Source organism: Homo sapiens, chromosome 7 (assembly GCF_000001405.40).
Source record: "Homo sapiens chromosome 7, GRCh38.p14 Primary Assembly".
NCBI classification, from domain to species: Eukaryota; Metazoa; Chordata; class Mammalia; order Primates; family Hominidae; genus Homo; species Homo sapiens.
This window is the reverse complement of record NC_000007.14, coordinates 97,135,925-97,158,228: the sequence shown is the minus strand read 5'-3', so window position 1 is coordinate 97,158,228 and position 22,304 is coordinate 97,135,925. Positions and strand designations below refer to the sequence as shown.

The following is a 22,304-nucleotide window of genomic DNA, read 5'->3' as shown; positions in this document are numbered from 1 at the left end:
AATGTAACTGTTAGCCTGCTAAAAGTGTTCTCTCAATTAACCTAGCCCCCAAAAGGAAATTTTAAGACAAGTAACCTAGCAATGATTGTATTTTTTTTTTTATACTTTAAGTTAACCTGTGCACAACGTGCAGGTTAGTTACATATGTATACATGTGCCATGTTGGTGTGCTCATGGCACACCATGATTAACTCATCATGATTAACTCATCATTTAACATTAGGTATATCTCCTAATCCTATCCCTTCCCCCACCCCCCACCCCACAACAGGCCCCAGTGTGTGATGTTCCCCTTCCTGTGTCCATGTGTTCTCATTGTTCAATTCCCACCTATGAGTGAGAACATGCGGTGTTTGGTTTTTTGTCCTTGGGATAGTTTGCTGAGAATGATGGTTTCCAGCTTCATCCATGTCCCTACAAAGGACATGAAATCATTTTTTATGGCTGCATAGCATTTCATGGTATGCATGTGCCACATTTTCTTAATCCAGTCTATCATTGTTGGACATTTGGGTTGGTTCCAAGTCTTTGCTATTGTGAATAGTGCCACAATAAACATACGTATGCATGTGTCTTTATAGCAGCATGATTTATAATCCTTTGGGTATATACCCAGTAATGGGACTGCTGGGTCAAATGGTATTTCTAGTTCTAGATCCTTGAGGAATCACCACACTGACTTCCACAATGGCTGAACTAGTTTACAGTCCCACCAACAGTGTAAAAGTGTTCCTATTTCTCCACATCCTCTCCAGCACCTGTTGTTTCCTGACTTTTTAATGATCGCCATTCTAACTGGTGTGAGATGGTATCTCACTGTGGTTTTGATTTGCATTTCTGTAAGGATTCCCAGGGTTCTAACTAACTACAAGGTTGGAATTCCAATATACAACCCACCTTGTTTGTCAGGAAATAGAAGGGAACTGTCACAGCAAGGATACCAGGTACAGAAGTCTAACTTGAAAAAGTCTAGAGAATGTAAAAAAGAATCAACTCAGGAAGCCAGTAAAATGACAACTTTTGAAATTCTTTTAGTACTCTACTAGACAATTAGTATCCAGAGTCAAATGTCAGTACCCCAGGGATACAGAGATTATACACAGCAAGGCAATCCACTAGGGTAAGGGGAAAAATAACAGAATTCGTATTTAAAATTTCTGGTTAGAAAACCAAACACCACATGTTCTCACTTAAAAGTGGGAGGTGAACAATGAGAATACATGGACACAGGGAGGGGCCTGTCAGGGGCTGGGGGACTGGGGGAGGGATAGCATTAAGAGAAATACCTAATGTAAATGACGAGTTGATGGGTGCAGCAAACCAACATGGCACATGTATACCTGTGTAACAAACCTGCACGTTGTGCGCATGTACCCCAGAACTTAAAAGTATAATTAAAAACATAATTCACTCTAAAAAAATATATATGTAAAACATTAAAAAAGAAATTTTTTTTATTAATATTTATAGATTATCCTTAGCATCCTCATGACTGTGTAACATACAGTCTAGGACATGTAGAATACAGGCAATAAATAATATGAGGGAAGAACAGAAGTTCTCCTGTTCCCCTGCACTGAAGAAACCTCCACCTATACCCCTGTATTTACTTTTGATGTATGCTATTTATATGTGCTACAGTTTGATATGTCAGTTAAATGGATTTAAATTTATATTATCTAGTTTAATTAAACTAACCCCTAAAATGGACAGATAACTTCAAAAGATGCCCATAAAGAATGTTCTGAAGACAACATTAACAATGCAAGCACAAGCAAAAGATAACAGTGGAGAATACTTTTCCAACTATTAGTGCAAGCTCATCAGCCACATTAATGAGGTAAAAACAATGGCAATAATGTACACCTGATATGGTGGGAATGGCACTTTACCTCTATGGCTTTCATCCCACCAACTCAAAACCCCAGTTTTTTCATGAGAAAGACATTAGAGAAATCCCAGCTGGGGGACATTCTACAAAAGACTATGTGTACCTTCAAAACTGTCAAGGTCATCAAAAACAGGGAAAGGCTGAGAAACTCTCACAGCCTAGAGCGCTAAGGTGACATGACAACTAAATATAATGTGATCTCCTGGGTGGAATCCTGGAACAGAAAAAGGTCATTAGGCTAATGACCTAAGTTAATGTGAATAAAGACTAGGCTAAATGTGAATAAGAATGGACTTTAGTTAGCAATACTGTGTCAATATTAGTTCATTAGTTATGACACACGTACCATACTTTTTAAAAAAATGGCAATATAATTAAGTCTAAAAACAACCTAAAACTTTCAAAAATATCAAGAAGACTACTTGGAATGCAAATTGATATCTACTTTATTAATGAACACTCCCCACTAGGTAATGTATCATGCTTCGGATATTAGCTAATTGTAAGACAGTTCAGAATTTATAATATATATAAATATATATGCTCCAAAAGTTTAGAGACTACAATTCTAGAAAATAAGTAGTCACCATGTAAATAACTAGATGTGATACTACTGTCCATATATCCCCAGTTACTTATTGTATATACACCAAATATCAAATGCTAAGGATATAAAGATGATCTCACAATTTCTGATTTAAAGCAGCTTATAATTTAGTGGGAAAGCAAACAAGTAATAAGGTAGTTAATCACCACACAATATAATGAAGAGCAGCAAGTGCATAATAATTGCCATAAATAGAAATGAACAAAGTTCAGTGGGAGCACTTGGGCTGAGAAATGAGGCATGGGGCAGAAAAGGTTTCCAGGAAAATGTGCCATCTAAGCTAAGTCTAAAAGGATAAGAAGTTGGCCAAGCTAAATCAAAGGAAGGTGTTCAAGAAACAAGGACCAGTATGCACAGGAGTCCAGAGCTACACTGTCCAATAGAGAAGCCACAAACCAAGATGACTACTGAGCACTTGAAACATTATTACTGAGACTGAATGAGGAACTCAATTCTTGATTTGATTTCATTTTAATTTAAATTTAAATTTTAAAATTGAAGCAATGCAGCACAGAAAAGATATTAATGCTCCCCAAATTGACCTCGTTTAATGCAATTCCAATCAAAATCCCAGATATGTTTTTTGTACATAAAGACAAGCTTATTATAAAATGTACAGTGGAAAATAAGGTTCTATTATAGCCAAAGCAATTTTGAAATAGATGAATTAAGTGAAAGGAGTAACTCTTTCTGATGTTAAGGATTAATGTATTGCCACAGGTAACAAGGCAGTGTGACAGCTAACAGACATGGAATAGAAAGAAAACACTAGACTGACAAATATGCCTAATTGATTTTTTACTAAGGTACCCGAGTAATTAAATGCAGGAGAAATAGTCTTTTAACAAATTACGCTGAAGCAACTGGATATCCCTAAGCAAAAAATAAATAAACCTTGACCTAAAACTTCAAATCATATGGAAAAGTTAATTCAAAATAGATCATGGGCTTAAATGTAAAACATAAAGTTATCAAAAATAAAAATAAAAACAAAAAACAAAACAGGAGCAAATCTTCAGGACCTAGAAGTAGGTAAAGAGTTCTTATACTTGACACCAAAAGAATAACCCCAAAAAGGAAAAAATGATAAACTGGGTTTCATCAAAATTTAAAACTTCTGCTCTGAAAAAGACTGTGTTAAAAGGATAAAAAAACAAACTACAGCCTAGGAGAAAATATTTGCAAACCACATAACTGACAAAGGACTAGCATTTAGAATGTATCAAAAACTCTCAAAATTGGAAAAAAAAAATCCAATTGGAAAATGGGCAAAATAAATGAGCAACATTTCACCAAAGACAATATAAAGGTGAAAAATAAGCACAAGATGTTCATCATCACTAGTCATTAGTGTCAGGCCTCTTAACCCAAGCTAAGCCATTGTGACCTGCACATATACATCCAGATGGCCTGAAGCAAATGAAGATCCACAAAAGAAGTGAAAATAGCCTTAACTGATGACATTCCACCATTGTGATTTGTTTCTGCCCCACTCTAACTCATCAATGTACTTTGTAATCTCCCCCACCCTTAAGAAGGTTCTTTGTAATCTCCCCCACCCTTAAGAAGGTTCTTTGTAATTCTCCCCACCCTTGAGAATGTACTTTATGAGATCCACCCCCTGCCTGCAAAACATTGCTCCTAACTCCACCGCCTATCCCAAAACCTATAAGAACTAATGATAATCCCACCACCCTTTGCTGACTCTCTTTTTGGACTCAGCCTGCCTGCACTCAGGTGAAATAAACAGCCTTGTTGCTCACACAAAGCCTGTTTGGTGGTCTCTTCACACGGATGCATGTGACAATTAGGAAAACATGAATTAAAACACGAGATATCACTATACACCTTAATTAAAACAGCCAACATCCAAAACACTGAGACCACCAAAATGCTGGCAAGGATACACTACAGAAACTCTCATTCACTGCTGGTGGAAATGTAAAACGGTCACTAAAACGCTGGCAAGGATATGCTACAGAAACTCTCATTCACTGCTGGTGGAAATATAAAATGGTCACCAAAACGCTGGCAAGGATATGCTACAGAAACTCTCATTCACCGCTGGTGGAAATGTAAAATGGTACAGCCACTTTGGAAGACACTTTACAATTTCTAACAAAACTAAACATACTCTTACCATATGATCCAGCAATTGCATTCCTTGGTATTTATCCAAAGAAGTTGAAAAATTATGTACACTCAAAACCCTGCAAACGGATGTTTACTGCAGCTTCATTCATAATTGACAAAACTTGGAAGCAACCAGGATATCCTTCAGTAGGTAAATGAACAAACTGCAGTACACCCAGACAATGAAATATTTATCAGAGCTAAAAAGAAATGATCAAGCCATGAAAAGACACATAGGAAACTTAAACGCATATTACCAAATAAAAGCAGCCAAGAAGCCAATTTGAAAAGGCTACATTCTGTATGATTCCAACATGTAACACGCCAGAAAAGGCAAAACTAGGGTGAGAGTACACAGATCAGTGGAGAAACCACCTTTGCAAAAATTACAAGTGAGAAAATTATGACAGCAAAAGAGATATGACCTAATCAACTGCATCGTGACTTTAACCTCCCAACTGCCCTTGTTCATTCCTAGGTGTAGGTCTAGCTAACTTTGTGAGGAATTTACACTTTAATTTTGAAACAAAGACAGTGACAGGCCCTCCCCAAAACAAACATCCTCCTTGCTTGGAGACTAGATCACCTTTGTAAAACTAACAAATTTGCCACAAAATAAGAAATAATGGCTCAGGGCCAGATGCAGTGGTTCATGCCTGTAATCCCAGCACTTTGGGAGGCCATGGCGGGCATGGCGGGAGACCATTGCTTGAGGTCAGGAGTTCAAGACTGGCCAAGATGGCAAAACCCTGTCTCTACTAAACCACCACGCCTACAAAAATTTGCTGGGCATGGTGGCACACATCTGTAGTCCCAGCTACTCAGGAGGCTGAGGCACAAGGATCGCTTGAACCTGGGAGGCAGGGGTTGCAGTGACCTGAGATTGCGCCATTGCAATCCAGCCTGGGCGAAAGAGCGAGACTCCATCTCAAAATAAATAAATAAATAAATAAATAAACAAAATAATGGCTCAGAAGTCACGCAGTCAGAGGCCATAAACTTCCTAACCTCCTCAATTGCTCCTATGGATAACATTACTACTGTAAAACCTAAGACTGATGTTTGACATATTTTTCAGACCCTGCATTCTAATGGATCCACTGGTGTTACCCAGACCCATAAACTGGGATATCTGGTCTTGTGACCTCCCACCCAGGAACTGACTCCATGCAAGAGGACAGATTCAACTCCCTATTATTTCATCCCTAACTTAACCAATCAGCATTTCCCATTCCCTAGTCCATGCCTGCCAAACTATCTTTCAAAAACCCTAGCTTCCAAATTTTCAGGGAGGCTGATATGAGTAATACCAAAACTCCAGTCTCCAATTTAGTTGGCTCTATGTGTATGAAACAGTTTCTCTATTGCAATTCCCATCTTGATAAATTGGCTTCATCTGGCAGAAGGCAAGTAGAACCCATTGGGGGTTACAGTTGTGGGTTATCAGAGGTTGGTGAGGGGGATGAACCGGCAGGGCAGAGAGAATTTTTAGGGCAGTGAAAATATACTATATACTACTATAAAGATGGATACATGTCGTTATACATTTGTCTAAACTCACAGAAAGTAAGAAAACAAGAGTAAACCCTACATGTAAATGATGAACTCTGGGTGATCTTAATGTGTCAATGTAGTATTGGGGCTCAGAAAATGATACCCCAAAGTAAGGCTCTTTGGTATCATGACTGGGGAACAGCAGGGAACCAGTGGATGCAAGCTGAAGTTTTCTCTGAGGACCCCTAATCTGCCTAAAGATGGATCTGGAAAGACCGTACCACAGGAAAAAGAGACTAAAGGTTGGCCGAGCGTGGTGGCTCATGCCTGTAATCCCAGCACTTTGGGAGGCCGAGGCAGGCAGATCACGAGGTCAGAAGATTGGGACCATCCTGGTGAACACTGTGAAACCCCGTCTCTACTAAAAATACAAAAAAATTAGCCAGGCATGGTGGCAAGCGCCTGTAGTCCCAGCTACTCGGGAGGCTGAGGCAGGAGAATGGCAGGAACCCGGGGGGCAGAGCTTGCAGTGAGCGGAGATTGTGCCACTGCACTCCAGCCTGGGGGACAGAGGGAGACTCCAACTCAAAAAAAAAAAAAGGACTAAAGGTTAGCAACCTCACCCAGAGCAGCTTTACCCATTCTTTGGAGGGCTGCTCCCCGAGATATTTTAATCTATGTAGCAAGACAACCTTTGTTCCCTAGATTTCTTCCCCTCACCCTCCCAAAGCCTGTCTGTCCTCACCTCCACTCCCTAGAAGCCCCAAGCCCCTATTTCTTTCTGCAGCTACAGATATTATAAAAATTCCAATCATCTGGCCTTTCTGAGTCTTTTATTTTGTGAGACTCTCGTGTATATGCACATAATAAATCCGTATGCCTTTCTCCTATTAATCTGTCTGCTTTCAGTTTATCACAGATTCAACTACAGAAACTTCGGAGTGTGCAGTAAAAGTTCCCGTCACCCCTACAGTTTGTTCATCTATTGTAACAAATGTACTACTCCAGTGGGGGATGCTGATAATGGGAGAGGTTATGCATATGTTGGGGCAGAAGGTATATGGAAAATCTCTGTGCTTTCCTCTTAATTTTGCCAAGAACCTAAAACTAATCTTAATATATTAAGTCTTAAAACACACTAACAAACAACTGACAGCCAGGCGCAGTGGTGCAGGCCTGTAGTCCCAGCTACTGAGTATTTTAACCCCGCTATTCAGACTACTGATCAGAAAAAGATTCCTAGGCCGGGTGCGGTGGCTCACACCTGTAATCCCAGCACTTTGGGAGGCCATGGCGGAAGGATCACAAGGTCAGGAGATCGAGACTATCCTGGCTAACAAGTGAAATCCCGTCTCTACTAAAAATACAAAAAATTATCCGGGTGTGGTGGTGGGCGCCTGTAGTCCCAGCTACTCGGGAGGCTGAGGCAGGAGAATGGCGTGAACCCGGGTGGCAGAGCTTACAGTGAGCTGAGATCAGGCCACTGCACTCCAGCCTGGGGGACAGAGCGAGACCCCATCTCAAAAAAAAAAAAAAAAAAAGGAAAAAAAGATTCCTTTCAAAATATTACTGCTCACTGACAATGCACCTGGTCACCCAAAAGCTCTGATGGAGCTATACAAGGAGATTAATAATGTTTTCATGCCTACTAATACAACAACCATTATGTAGCCCCACGGATCAAGTAATTTTGACTTTCAAGTCTTATTTTAAAAATACATTTTGAAAGACTATAGCTGACATAGATAGTGATTCCTCTGATGGATCTGGACAAAGTAAATTGAAAAACTCCTGGAAAGGATTCACCATTCTAGATGCGATTAACAGCATTTGTGATTCATGGGAGCAGATCAAACTATCAACATTAACAGGAGTTTGGAAGAAGCTGATTCCAACCCTCATGGATGACTTTGAAAAGTTTGAGAATTCAGTGGAGTAAGTAACTGCAGATGTGGTGGAAACAATAAGAGAACTCTACTTCAGAAGTGGAGCCTGAAGATGTAACTGACTTGCTGTAATCTGATTATAAAAGTTGAATGGCTGAGTTCTCTCTTATGGATGAGCAAAGAAAGTGATTTCTTCAAATGGAATCTACTCCTGGCAAGGATGCGTGAACAGTGCTGAAATGACAACAAAGGATTTAGAATATTACATAAACTTAATTGATAAAGCAGCAAGAGGACTTTGAGGGGATAGACTTCAACTTTGAAAAAAATGACTACTGTGCATAAAATGCCATCAAACAGCATTGCATGCTACAGATCAATCTTTCCTGAAAGTGTCAATTAATGCAGCACACTTTATTGTGGTCTTATTTTAAGAAATTGCCACAGCTACCCTAAACTTCAGCAACTACCCCCCTCATCATTCAGCAGCCGTCAACATTGAGGCAAGATTCTTGATCAGTAAAAATATTATGACTTGCTGACAGACAATCATTAGCATTTTCAGCAATATTTTTAAATTAAGGCATGTATATTCTATTTTAAGACAATGCTACGACACACTTAGTAGATAATAGTGTAAACATAACTTTTATATGCATTGGGAAACCAAAAAACCCACATGGCTCATTTTATTGCAATATTTGCTTTTTATCACAATATCTCCAAGGTATACATGTGCAGTTTGCTCCTACTACAGTGGTTTTGCCATTTAGTATATAGTACAAATCTGCAACTATGTATTGTTTGGCAATGCTTTTTATTTTGCAACTAACCCTTCTGGCACCAGTAAGCTTTAAAAAAAAAAGTGTATCTTGAGTGAAAAACTGAAATTTTTATTTCTAAAAACCAGTTGATAATAAACATGCAACATGGAGACTACTCCAATCTCACAGACTAAATGTATATCAAAAGACACAAATCAGCCAGGCACGGTGGCTCACACCTGTAATCCCAGCACTTTGGGAAGACAAAGCGGAAGAATCGCTTGAGCCCAGGAGTTCAAGACCAAAACCTGGGTAACATAGTGAGACCCATGTCTCTACAAAAAAAATAGAAAAAAAATAGCCAGGTGTGATGGTGCACGCCTGTAGTCCCAGCTACTCAGGAGGCGCAGGTGGGAGGATCACTTTGGCCTGGGAAGTTGAGGCTGCAGTGAGCCAAAATCATGCCACTGCACTCCAGCCTGTGAGACAGAGTGAGATCCTGTTTCAGAAAAAAAAAAAAAAAGACACAAATCTACTGATTGTGCATCAGAATCTACTTTTTAAATTACTGTACATGGAGACAATAGGTATAGCTACAGATAATATATATTTACATATTACACTGAGAAGCACAATTTTTTCATTTAGATCAAATCACTAATCATCTAAGTTAATTTCACTCATTTTTATTCTAGGTTATCTTACGCACATATAAAAAGTAAAGCAATAGTTGTTAGACTGTTAACAAAAGAACTACTTTGAAAAAAGTTGAATGCTGTTAGCTTTATATCAGTGATAGTAGATGCTTCAAATGGAAAAACCAGTTAAATTAAATCTAGGAACAGGGTGAATTGTTTATCAAATTCATGGAGTCAAAGTAAAACTACTGGTGACTATTTGTTTATTTTTATTTTTAAGAGACAGGGTCTTGCTTTTTCGCCCAGGCTGGAGTACAGTAGGGCAATCATAGCTGGCTTCAGCCTCAAACTTCTGGGCTCAAGCAATCCTCCAGCCTCGGCATCCTGGGCAGCTGGGCCTACAGGCATGAGCTGTCATGCCTGGCTAATTTTTAAAACATTGTTGTAGAGACAAGGTCTCACTTTGTTGCCCAGACTGGTCTCCATCTCCTGGCTTCAAGTGGCCCTCCCGCTTCAGCCTCCCAAAGTGCTAGGATTATAGTTGCAAGCCACTGTGCCCGGCTGGAAATTCATTCTTAAAGGTGAAACATCTGATGTTATCGTGTTATTGTAAATTCAGTTTTTAAAAAGTTCAGCAGTGGCTCACATCTGTAATCCTAGCACTTTGGGAGGCTGAGGTGGATCACTTGGGGTCTGGAGTTCGGGACCAGCTTGACGACATGGTGAAACCCCGTCTCTACAAAAATTATCTGAGCATGGTAGCATGTGCCTGTAATCCCAGCTACTTGGGAGGCTGAGGTATGAGAATTGCTTGAACCTGGGAGTGAGAGAGGTTGCCGTGAGCCTGCACTGCAGCCTGGGAGACACGGCAAGACTCTGTCTCAAAAAACATAAAAATAAAAATAAATAAATAAATAAAAAGTTCACCACTGAAGATAAAATTATTTTTTACAGTGATAACACATTTTGGTGGAGCAGAGTACCAAAGTAAGAAACAATGTTCTTATTAGAGTCTTTGAGAGGAATGTACATGCAATTGGTGGTGCGTACACAATTTATAACCATGCCCAAACTGTGACATTCTAATAATCAAAACAGAATCTGCTGTCAAATTGACACTTGGCTAAAAATCTGTATTTATACAGTAAGAGTAATATATAAAATTTTTGTAACAAGACTGCTATTGAGCACAAGCACTCCCCCATGGCAGCATGAGCTTTCCTTTTGGGCTGCCTATCATATAGATTTTAGAAACCCTGGAGCCTTTTCAGAACTAATTTGCAAATCAACCTAAGTACCCTACAATGATGCTGAAATTTCTTATAAACTAGTTCCCTAGATTTTGGTTGCATTTTGTTCAAATCAGTAGGAATTATTTAATCAAAGTACTGGACAAATAAACAAAAAGCTTAAGCTTTTAATGAAGTGTTTTTGAAAACAAAGCTTATAACTAGAAGACAAATTTACTGAAAGAAGAAACAATGAATTATGAGAGCACAAATAATGCACAAGATCTAATTTTGAAATTCTATAATTGTGTATCTATCTCAACTTCTGAAAACAATCTTTTGAAGGAACTCCTAGTTATAACTGCGTATACTTATATTCATACCCAAATAGAAGAAAATTGAAAAGGCCTATGATTTTGAAGCATGTGAATTTGGCAAAACGTTTAAAATAATCCTAAATACAGATAATTTATCTGACAAGTTTTATCCTACAGAAATATCTGTCAGAGAAAACTAATCTAAATGGAGACAATAAGAGTACCTATTGGCCGGGCGCAGTGGCTCACGCCTGTAATCCCAGCACTTTGGAAGGCTGAGGTGGGTGGATCACGAGGTCAGGAGATCAAGACTATCCTGGCTAACACGGTGAAACCCCGTCTCTACTAAAAATACAAAAAATTAGCCAGGCGTGAGAATGGCATCAACCCGGGAGGTGGAGTTTGCAGTGAGCCCAGATTGCGCCACTGCACTCTGGCCTGGGCGACAGAGTGAGACTCCATCTCAAAAAAAAAAAAAAAAGGTACCTATTAAAATCTTTGGGCTTAACTATTTATAATTTAAATGCAAAAAAATATTGATTTGAGAATCTCCTCCATTGGGCAAAATTTGCTGAGTTTCTTTGGTATCCCAATATCTATAGCAGAATAGTTTTCTCTATTAATCATAAAATGTAACTTCAAAAAAGATATCAGGCAATTAAAAAAATTAAAACCAAATTGCAAAATCTGTATTCTTCAGAGAAAAAAAGTGACACTGTATTACAGACAGGAACAGATAGAAAGTACATAAATATGTCTCAAGAACAATTATTTTATGTTCTTTTTGTAACATTTATACGATCACAATAAAAAGTGTTTTGCCTTCAAATATACAAATGTTTTATATTTTGGAAAATTTTTGAGAAGTTATAAAGAACTGTTTCATAGTTCTAACAACATAATAAACACAATTTATATGTCAATAAATACACATTTCAAAAATGTGTGTATGATGTGATTTTAGTGCTTCTTTTACTCCCACAAATGTCACAGTTTTGACAACAAATTATACAACCAAACTAATAATAGACAGGACAAAACATCAGCACATTTAAAAAGGCCAGAATATTACTGGCCAAAAATAAAAAATGTCATGTTATCTCTTTGCTTTTTAAACTAAATTATCTGTCATCTAGCGTTCAAAAGTGGGGGGGGGAAAGCCTATTTAAGTTTTCACAAAATTTCCAAATCTCTATTTTTATCTTTTCCAGGTCATCAATGATATAACTCATAATTTCACAATTAATCTGCTAACTATAAAGCTGCATCTTCCTTAAAATTTTTATTATAAATATATTTTATTGTAGTAAGAACTACAAAAATTTACTCAAAAACAATCATGTGTTTGATGGCTATCTGCCTTCCAAGACTGGGAAATCCCGAAAACGAAGATTCTCTCTCTGTTGGGGTTTTGAATTACTATGAATCATCAGGCTATAGAGCAGGATCTGAAACATGGAAGGCATTTAATAAATGTTTATTGAATGAAATAATTTCTTCAATTAAGACAAAGAAAATTTAAGAGAACACTTGACAGCGACAGGGAAAGGAAGCAAGATTCAAAATGGTAATGAGACCATGAAGTGGTCATTCAAAATTCTAGGTAACACAAAAGAATGTATGTTGAACCAATTCCTTAATTTCTAAAATAAAGTCAAATAAAATTTCACATATTGGGTTTCATATATTCATCTAGAACTGGTAAATAAATGCCTTCAGTATCCCTTAAACTTACTAAGAAAAATGACTTTTACCAAACCAATTATTTAAACACTATTCAGTGATTACTCATGAAGCCTTCAAAAATGGATTAACATTGTATATAGTAGAAAAAATATTTACTCCCTTTTAAAATTAGTTAAAACATATATATAAAATAGTTAAAGTGGCAACAAATCTGTAACAGACAATTCAAATATGAAATGTACTAGTCAGAATGTAAAAAGACAAATACTACTTCAGATAAAATTTAGTTTTCATTTAGTTACATCTTCCCAGACATAAGTATCTTCTGCCATCATGTGGAAATTTCTGAAATTACATGTACACACAAAATTAATGTTATCAAGCTCCTAGAACTGATAAAGGAATTCAGCAAAGTTTCCAGATACTAGATTAATGTACACAAATCAGTAGCTCTTCAATACACCAATAGCGACCAAGTGGAGAATCAAATCAAGAACTCAACTCCTTTTACAATAGCTGCAAAAAAAAAAAAACAAAAAATACTTAGGAATATACCTAACCAAGGAGTTGAAAGACCTCTACAAAGAAAACTACAAAACACTGCTGAGAGAAATCACAGATCACACAAAGGGAAACACACCCCATGCACATGGATGGGTAACATCAATATTGTGAAAATGACCATACTGCCAAAAGCAATCTACAAATTCCGTGCAATCCCCATCAAAATATCACCATCATTCTTCACAGAATTACAAAAAACAATTCTAAAATCCATATGAAACCAAAGAAGAGCCCACATAGCCAAAGTAAACTAAGCAAAAAGAACAAATCTGCAGGCATCACACTATGATTTCAAACTGTGAGACCACAGTCACCAAAACAGCATGATACTGGTATAAAAACAGGCACATAGACCAATGGGACAGAATAGGGAACCCAGAAATAAACCCAAATATTACAGCCAACTGATCTTCGACAAAGCAAACAAAAAAGTAAAGCAGGGAAAGGACAACTTTTTCAACAAATGGTGCTAGAATAATTGGCTAGCCACATGTAAGAGAATGAAACTGGATCCTCATCTCTTGCCTAATACAAAAATCAACTCAAGATGGATCAAGGACTTAAACCTAAGACCTGAAACTATAAAAATCCTAGAAGATAACACTGGAAAAACCTTTCTAGACATTGGCTTAGGATTTCATGACCAAGAACCCAAAAGCAAATGCAATAAAAACAAAGATAAATAGCTGGGACCTAATTAAACTGAAGAGAAAAGGACAGTCAGCAAACAGACAACACACAAGAGTGGGAGAAAATCTTCACAATCTATACATCTGACAAAGGTCTAATAACCAGAATCAACAATGAACTCAAACAAATCAGTAAGAAAAAAACAAACAATCCCATCAAAAAGAGTAAAGAATGTAAGTAGACAATTCTCAAAAGAAGATATACAAAAGGCCGATGACCATATGAAAAAACGCTCAGCATCACTAATGATCAGGGAAATGCAAATCAAAACCACAATGTGATACCATCTTGCTCCTGCAGGAATGGCCATAATAAAAAAAATAAAAAAATAATAGATGTTGGCGTGGATGCGGTGATCAGCGGACACTTCTACACTGCTGGTGGGAATGTAAACCAGTACAGCCACTATGGAAAACACTGTGGAGATTCCTTAAAGAATTAAAAGTAGAACTACCATTTCATCCAGCAATCCCACTACTGGGTATCTACCCAGAGGAAAAGATAATCTTTTTCATTATTTGAAAAAGATACTTGCACATGCATGTTTATAGCAGCACAATTCACAATTGCAAAATAGTGGAACCAACCCAAATGCCCATCAATCAATGAGTGGATAAAGAAACTGGTATACACACACACACACACACACACACACACACACACAGTGGAACACTACTCAGCCCTAAAAAGGAATGAATTAACAACATTTGCAGTGACCTGGATGAGACTGGAGACTATCATTCCAAGTGACGTAACTCACGAATGGAAAAACAAATATTGTATGTTCTCACTGATATGTGGGAGCTAAGCTGTGAGGATGCAAAGGCTATAAGAATGATACAATGGACTTTGGGGACTTGGGGGAAAGAGTGGGAGGGGTGTGAGGGATAAAAGACTACAAATATGGTGCAGTGTATACTGCTCGGGTGATGGGTGGACCAAAATCTGACAAATCACCGCTAAAGAACTTACGCATGTAACCAAATACCACCAGTACATCAATAACTTATGGAAAAAGAAAAAAAAATTAATGTATCAGACTAGGGTATTAGCTTACCCTAGCAGTCTCTAATATTTGAAAAGATTAATCCAGTTTTTAAACAAAGTAAATATTCTTAGAAGAATTTAAGAAGGGGCTGGGAGTGGTGGCTGACTCCTGTAATCCCAGCACTTTGGGAGGTGGAGGTGGGTGGATCACTTGAGGCCAGGAGTTCGAGACCAGCCTGGCCAACATGGTGAAACTTCCTACTAAAAATACAAAAATTCGCCAGATGTGGTGGCGTCTGCCTGTAATCCCAGCTACTCGGGAGGTTGAGGCGGGAGAATCGCTTGAACCCAGGAGACAGAGGTTGCAGCAGTGAGCCAAGATCACACCACTGCACTCCAGCCTGGGCAACAGAGTGAGACTCTGTCTAAAAAAAAAAAAAAAAAAAAAAAAAGAATTTAAGAAGAAAATAATCCTGTAAAGTTGCTCCTTCTTCCTGAGAGAAGATAGTGGTGTTCATTTGTACCTTAAGGAAACTGCATGCAGACACTCTGTTTCATTTTCTTTCCAAGACTCAGCAGTTATGGCTCTTCTAGGCCTTTTCCACTTCAAGATCTTAAATTCCTTAAATACTGTCTCCTTTTCTCTCCCTGACTTTAGGCACTTAAAACCCTATAATAAATCGGAAAAGAAACAGGAGTATTAAGCTACTTTAACTTGTTCTGAATAATTAGAAACTAGAGATGCTTGATACTAGTTCTATAAAGACAAAAGCTTATTAATAGCCAAATAGCAAAAAAACAAAATTAAAAACTGAACCAGCTATGCATACAATCATATGCCTAATGGGTTGACAGTATTATCTACATAAAGACATGAATTAAAGTGCTTGGAATAAGCCTAATGCCCTAAATTCTCACATATTTATAAAATACAATTTCAGAATTTAAGACTTTGTTTACATTATTAATCTTTATAAACACTACAATTCAGGCCAGGCGCGGTGGCTCACGCCTGTAATCCTAGCACTTTGGGAGGCCGAGGTGGGCAGATCACGAGGTCAGGAGTTTGAGACCAGCCTGGCCAATATAGTGAAATGCCGTCTCTACTAAAAATACAAAAAATTAGCTAGGCGTGGTGGTATGCGCCTGCAATCCCAGCTACTCGGGAGGCTGAGGCAGGAGAATTGCTTGAACTCGGGAGGCAGAGGTTGGAGTGAGCCACGATCACACCACTGCACTCCAGCCCAGGCAACAGGGCGAGACACTGTCTCAAAAAAAAAAAAAAAAAAAAAAAAAAAAAGACAACAATTCACACATTTCATTGCTCAACTTTTTATCCAGCTGTGGTAATTAGCATATTTGGTCTTTGTCAAAAAATAATCACTCATTTTTCTTTTGGGGGAGAAAAAGACTTACTGAACATCTATTAAAACATACTACTGTCCCATTAATTTTACAAAGATAAGTAGAACATTGTTTTTGTTCTCAATGAACTTACCATCAACTAGTGGCAAAAAGGTGTACATAAGTAACTATAATACAATGTAGATAACATTAAGTACCAAAAGAGACTGTAATCCCAGCACTTTGGGAGGCCAAGGCAGGAGGATCACGAGGTCAGGAGATAGAGACCATCCTGGCTAACACAGTGAAACCCCATCTCTACTTAAAAATACAAAAAAATTGCCAGGTGTGATGGCAGGCGCTAGTCAGTAGAGCATGAGACTCTTAATCTCAGGGTCGTGGGTTCGAGCCCCACATCGGGCGCCAGATATCGGGGGAAATTCACCCCCGATATTTCATGTAGGTTCTTTTCTATTTTCCCTAAGTGTTGGCCAGTCTGAGAAATAAAGGGAAAGAGTACAAAAGAGAGAAATTTTAAAGCTGGGTGTCCGGGGAAGACATCACATGTTGGCAGGTTCCGTGATGCCCCCTGAGCTGTAAAACCAGCAAGTTTTTATTAGTGATTTTCAAAAGGGGAGGGAGTGTACGAATAGGGTGTGGGTCACAGAGATCACATGCTTCACAAGGTAATAAGATATCACAAGATAAATGGAGGCAGGGCGAGATCACAGGACCACAGAACTGGGGTGAAATTAAAATTGCTAATGAAGTTTCCGGCACGCATTGTCATTGATAACATCTTATCAGGAGACAGTGTTTGAGAGCAGACAACCGGTCTGACCAAAATTTATTAGGTGGGAATTTCCTCGTCCTAATAAGCCTGGGAGTGCTATGGGAGACCGGGGCTTATTTCATCCCTCAGCTATGACCGTAAAAGACAGCCATCCCCAAAGCAGCCATTTCAGAGGCCTCCCCTCAGGGATGCATTCTCTTTCTCAGGGATGTTCCTTGCTGAGAAAAAGAATTCAGCGGTATTTCTCCCATTTGCTTTTGAAAGAAGAGAAATATGGCTCTGTTCCGCCCGGCTCACTGGCAGTCAGAGTTTAAGGTTATCTCCCTTGTTCCCTGAACATTGCTGTTATCCTGTTCTTTTTTCAAGGTGCCCAGATTTCATATTGTTCAAACACACATGCTCTACAAACAATTTGTGCAGTTAACGCAATCATCACAGGGTCCTGAGGCGACATACATCCTCCTCAGCTTGCGAAGATGACGGGATTAAGAAATTAAAGACAGGCATTGGAAATCACAGGGTATCGATTGGGGAAGTGATAAGTGTCCATGAAATCTTCACAATTTATGTTCAGAGATTGCAGTAAAGACAGGCGTAAGAAATTATAAAAGTATTAATTTGGGGAACTAATAAGTGTCCATGAAATCTTCACGATTTATGTTCTTCTGATATGGCTTCAGCTGGTCCCTCCATTCGGGGTCCCTGACTTCCTGCAACATGTAGTCCCAGCTACTCAGGAGGCTGAGGCAGGAGAATGGTGTGAACCCGGGAGGCGGAGCTTGCAGTGAGCCAAGATCACGCCACTGCCCTCTAGCCTGGGTGACAGAGCGAGACTCCATCTCAAAAAAAAAAAAAAAAAAAATACTACCAAAAGAGAAAAATACAACTTGAGGGAAATTTAAGACATAGAGATTTCTTACCATTTGAAGAATTAATCAATTAAGAATTGACAGCACCATATGAAGGTTGTTTTGAAAGACACTTTAGGGTTTGGCCATGCAGACAAAGACAGTAAAACATTAAGCCAAATGAACAGTCAGAGTCAAAACAACTTGAGGCCACTTTCAGAGAGCAATGCTCAGTTAAGTGACTAGAACATAGAATTCATGACAAAGAACATTGAGATAAAGGTAGGAAAAATATATTCGGGCCAGATTTTGCACAGTTTTTAATGTCACGTTAAAGAGAGGTCAATGGGAAAACACTGATGGGTTTTGACAAGGGTAATAAAATGATCAAAGTTGTATTTTATAAGGTGACAGTTAAAAGAGACTAAAGGCAAGATTATTCATGAAATAACTACAAACATCCAGAGGTACTGACAATTGGAATGGAGAGAATAGGTCAGAGTTCTGATACCGTAAAAGAAAACAGTCAACAGGATTTGGCAACTAACAGCATACAGAGGATAAGAAAGAAGAAAGACTTAATTAAGAATAACAAAATTACAAAATTTGTTTTCAGAGCACTCTTACCTGGAATTCTTGTCTCCTTCCTGTCAACCTACTTCCTACCCCACACTGATAGCAGCAGGAGGCAGACAAATGCCTAGGCAGATAGGGGCAGGTCCACAGTGAAACCTCAATTTCAAACCAAAGGCAGTTTAAAGCCTAAAAGTCAAGCTATGAGTCTCAGATACATCTACAGGCCAGATTGAGAACCTCTCTTCCTGTCTGGTGCTCTTTCCTCTGATTGATCCTCACCCTTCACCTATTTTACATATATACACCCTTCCCTAATTGGCTTTTTTACACTGTCATGCCTACTTTTGAGTGGTGCCTTTGTTTTAGCCTTTTTTGCATACTCACAAACCAATCGGCATACACTCCCCCATTCTGAGCCCATAAAAGCCCCAGACTCAGCCGTATTTTGGAACTGCCCATCTCCGGGTGTGGGGGACTACCCACCTTCAGGTGGGGGACCACTCACTTTGAGTCCCCTCTCCACTGAGAACTGTTCTGTTGTTCAATAAAACTCTTCTCTGCCCTTCTCACCCTTCGGTTGTCAGTGTAACCTCATTCTTCTTGGACACAGGACAAGAACTCAGGAACCACCGAACACAGGTAGGAAAAAGGCTGTAACACTGTGGCCTTCTGCCGGCACCGGGCAGCGCCCCCATGCAGTGAGATGCAGCGGCAGGGCCAGGCCAGCCCTCGAGGCACTGCTGGGAGCAGGGCAGTGGGACTGAATGAGCTGTAGCACAGGCAGGCTGGGGAACACCTGGCCCAGACACAGGCTGAGTGTGGATCCTGTGACAAGCACAGGATCTGGGCCAGAGTGCAAGCCAGGCATGGTCCAATGGACCTAGTGGGTAGGCGCCTCCTGCAGTGAGCCTGGGCACAAGCAGGGACCAGATGGGGGTGTCACTGCCCACAGAGGTCCCCAGCTGGCAAAGCAGCACCAAAAAAATACTGTGTCAACATTAAAGCTAAAATATCTAACATTTGTGGAACACTTACTACGTGTAAGGCACTGGACAACTATTATGCATATACTATCTTATTTAATCCTTAACCTTAGAGGTAAGTACTGTTGCTATGCCCATTTTACTGATGAGGAAACCAAGGCTTAGAATGGTTAATCAAATTACCCAAGGTCACAGAGTAAGTGGCTAGATGTTAATCAACGTCAGATAATCATTAAAAGTGTTACTCATATTAAATTTAAAATGTAATCTCTCATATGGGTATACATATTTTTTAAATAAACTCAAAGATAAAATGATCTTCAAAAGCCAATGAGGGCTGGGCAGTGGTGGCTCATGCCTGTAATCCTAGAACTTTGGGAGGCCAAGGCAGGTGGATCACCTGAGGTGAGGAGTTCGAAACCAGCCTGGCCAACGTGGTGAAACCCTGTCTCTACTAAAAACGCACAAAAAATTAGCCAGGTGTGGTGGCAGGCACCTGTAATCCCAGCTACTCAGGAGGCTGAGGCAAGAGAATTGCTTATACGTGGGAGGCGGACGTTGCAGTGAGCTGAGATTGTGCCACTGCACTCCAGCCTGGGAAACAAAGACTCTGTCAAGAAAAAAAAAAAAATGCCAGTGGGGCTTGGCACACTGGCTCACCCCTGTGATCCAGCACATTGGGAGGCCAAGGCGGGTGGATCACTTGAGGTCAGGAGTTCGAGACTAGCCAACGCGGTGAAACCTACTAAAAATACAAAATTAGCTGGGTGTGGTGCCACGTGCCTGTAATCCCAGCTACTCAAGAGGCTGAGGCAGGAGAATTGCTCAGACCCAGGAGATGGAGGTTGTGGTGAGCCAAGATGGTGCCACTGCACTCCAGCCTGGGCGACAAAACAAAACTCCATCTAAAAAAAAAAAAAAAAAAAAAAAGCGAATGGAATGAGGGCATATGAAGGAATGGCAAGTGACATGGTAGATATATTGGTAGATAATCATAAATTCAACAGCTAAGAAAGAGAGACGCTTTCCCTCTTGTACTCATACTACTCATACTCCAAATCACTGTCACGCTGCCAAAAGACCAGCATTCACAACTATTATTCTTTAAGACACAATGGGTCTCACCCTATCACATATTGATTTGTGGCAGGCTTATAAAGTCCTTAAAGATACTATGTACTAATATCCATAACCCCTAAAAAATAGTAGACATTGAATAACTGAGTAAACAACTGAACTCAGTTGGGCTGCTTCTGTCTAGTTCTCTCCAACATAGTGTGAACACCCTCACATAGTTCAAGGCCTACATTTTGAACAATTTCTCCATATCCTTGACTTGAACTTGATCTTGAAACCTCCGCTCCTGATCTCGTCTCCTTTCTAGTTTTGAACTTAATAATGTCCTGTGCATTATCCTTGACTCTCAACTTGTTAAGGTCATGGACAAATATAGCTGGCCTGATTTATATTACAAGTGTTTCTCCTAGTTTCCAGGAAATTTCCAAGAGTTCCCTAACCCACAGACTCCCTCCTCAGTTATCAAGGAAAGGATTTAATTTCCATGGGCTCTAACAGAACGTATGTTAGATCATGAAAGGGTTCTCCTTTGACTGACAATGTAAATCTAGTAGGCTATGCAGAGGATGTGAGAGATGTGGACAAGTTCCCAATGTTCTCAGCTTTAGTTCGTATATACTTTCCCAAAGAAAGAATATAATAAATACTAGTGAGGCTCCCAGACAGCCCTGAAAAACAAACAACCAAAAACAAAACAAAACAAAATACAAAACCCTATATTTAAAGAAAATGGTGCAGTTAAATATTACACAATAGGAATCACATTTTATTTTATTTTATATTTTCAGTATAAATCTACCATTTTATATTATATTAAGGACTAGGTAACTGCTTATGGCTATTTCAAGCATTCAAACTAAGAAGATGAATTATCATTACTATCTTCCAAGTATTACACAGAGCAATAAATTGCTGGATATTAATCAAACAATAGTAAGTAGTAAGTGAACAAACATTATATTTAAATGCACCATATACATCTACTTTTTTAACTACAGACTAAGCTAAAGCAAAATAATTTCAGATTCCAGTTATGCTTTTAAAAGAGAAAAAAACTTCTGAATAACTTCTTAAACTTTGCAAAACTTCACACTACCCATTACTATTTAAGAAAATACAGTTTAGAAGCGTACTGTACATAGTTCAATCTTACATAAACTCTTGCCACCCCCTTAATTTAGGCTGTAAAGAATATTTTGATAGCATTTTGTTAAAAAAAAGTGGAACTAAAATAATCTGGCAGGTCTTACTTACTGAAAGTACCAAATCGGAATTCTTCACATGAAACAGAAATTTTCTTTTCAGATACATGCATCAAGATTTCTGGACATACCCTATTTAAAACAAATTTGATTTATGCAAATACAGGTTTACACAAAGAAACAAATTACAGGTTGATAATTCACTTTTCAAAAGGATTCACAAAAGAACTCTTTTAATTAGTAAGTTTGCCAATATACCTAAAAGTTATGTTTCAAAAAAAATCAGTTTATAAAGAATTCTTCAGAAATACACTCAAGGGTATTAAATTAGTTATAGTTAGTTATAAGAGTATCAAGCTTCAGAAACTCCTATTAGTCTTTGTCCTAACAGCTCGACAAATATTGCAGGTGAAACATTAACTGAAAATGGCATAGAAATGCATATTTAAGATAGTCTCTGACAAATACATTTATATCTATCCTAATCATCATGAACCTACCAAATTCTTCTTTAAAAATATATACAGGGACTAGCCCGGGCATGGTGGCTCACACCTGTAATCCCAGCACTTTGGGAGGCCGAGGCGGGCGGATC

General features: G+C 38.8%; 1 protein-coding gene and 1 long non-coding RNA gene across 2 annotated transcripts in view; both read right to left on the bottom strand.

Moving 5' to 3' along the window:
• Positions 1 to 22,304, bottom strand: part of SDHAF3 (succinate dehydrogenase complex assembly factor 3) — a 64,066-nt gene that overhangs the window by 23,535 nt on the left and 18,227 nt on the right. The gene's annotated exons all lie outside the window — the stretch shown is intronic.
• On the bottom strand, positions 769 to 21,841 carry LOC107984034 (uncharacterized). Its single transcript, XR_001745291.1, has 3 exons — positions 21,762 to 21,841; positions 15,411 to 15,556; positions 769 to 969 (listed from the first exon to the last, which is right to left on the bottom strand). It is a non-coding gene; the product is annotated as an uncharacterized LOC107984034 (long non-coding RNA).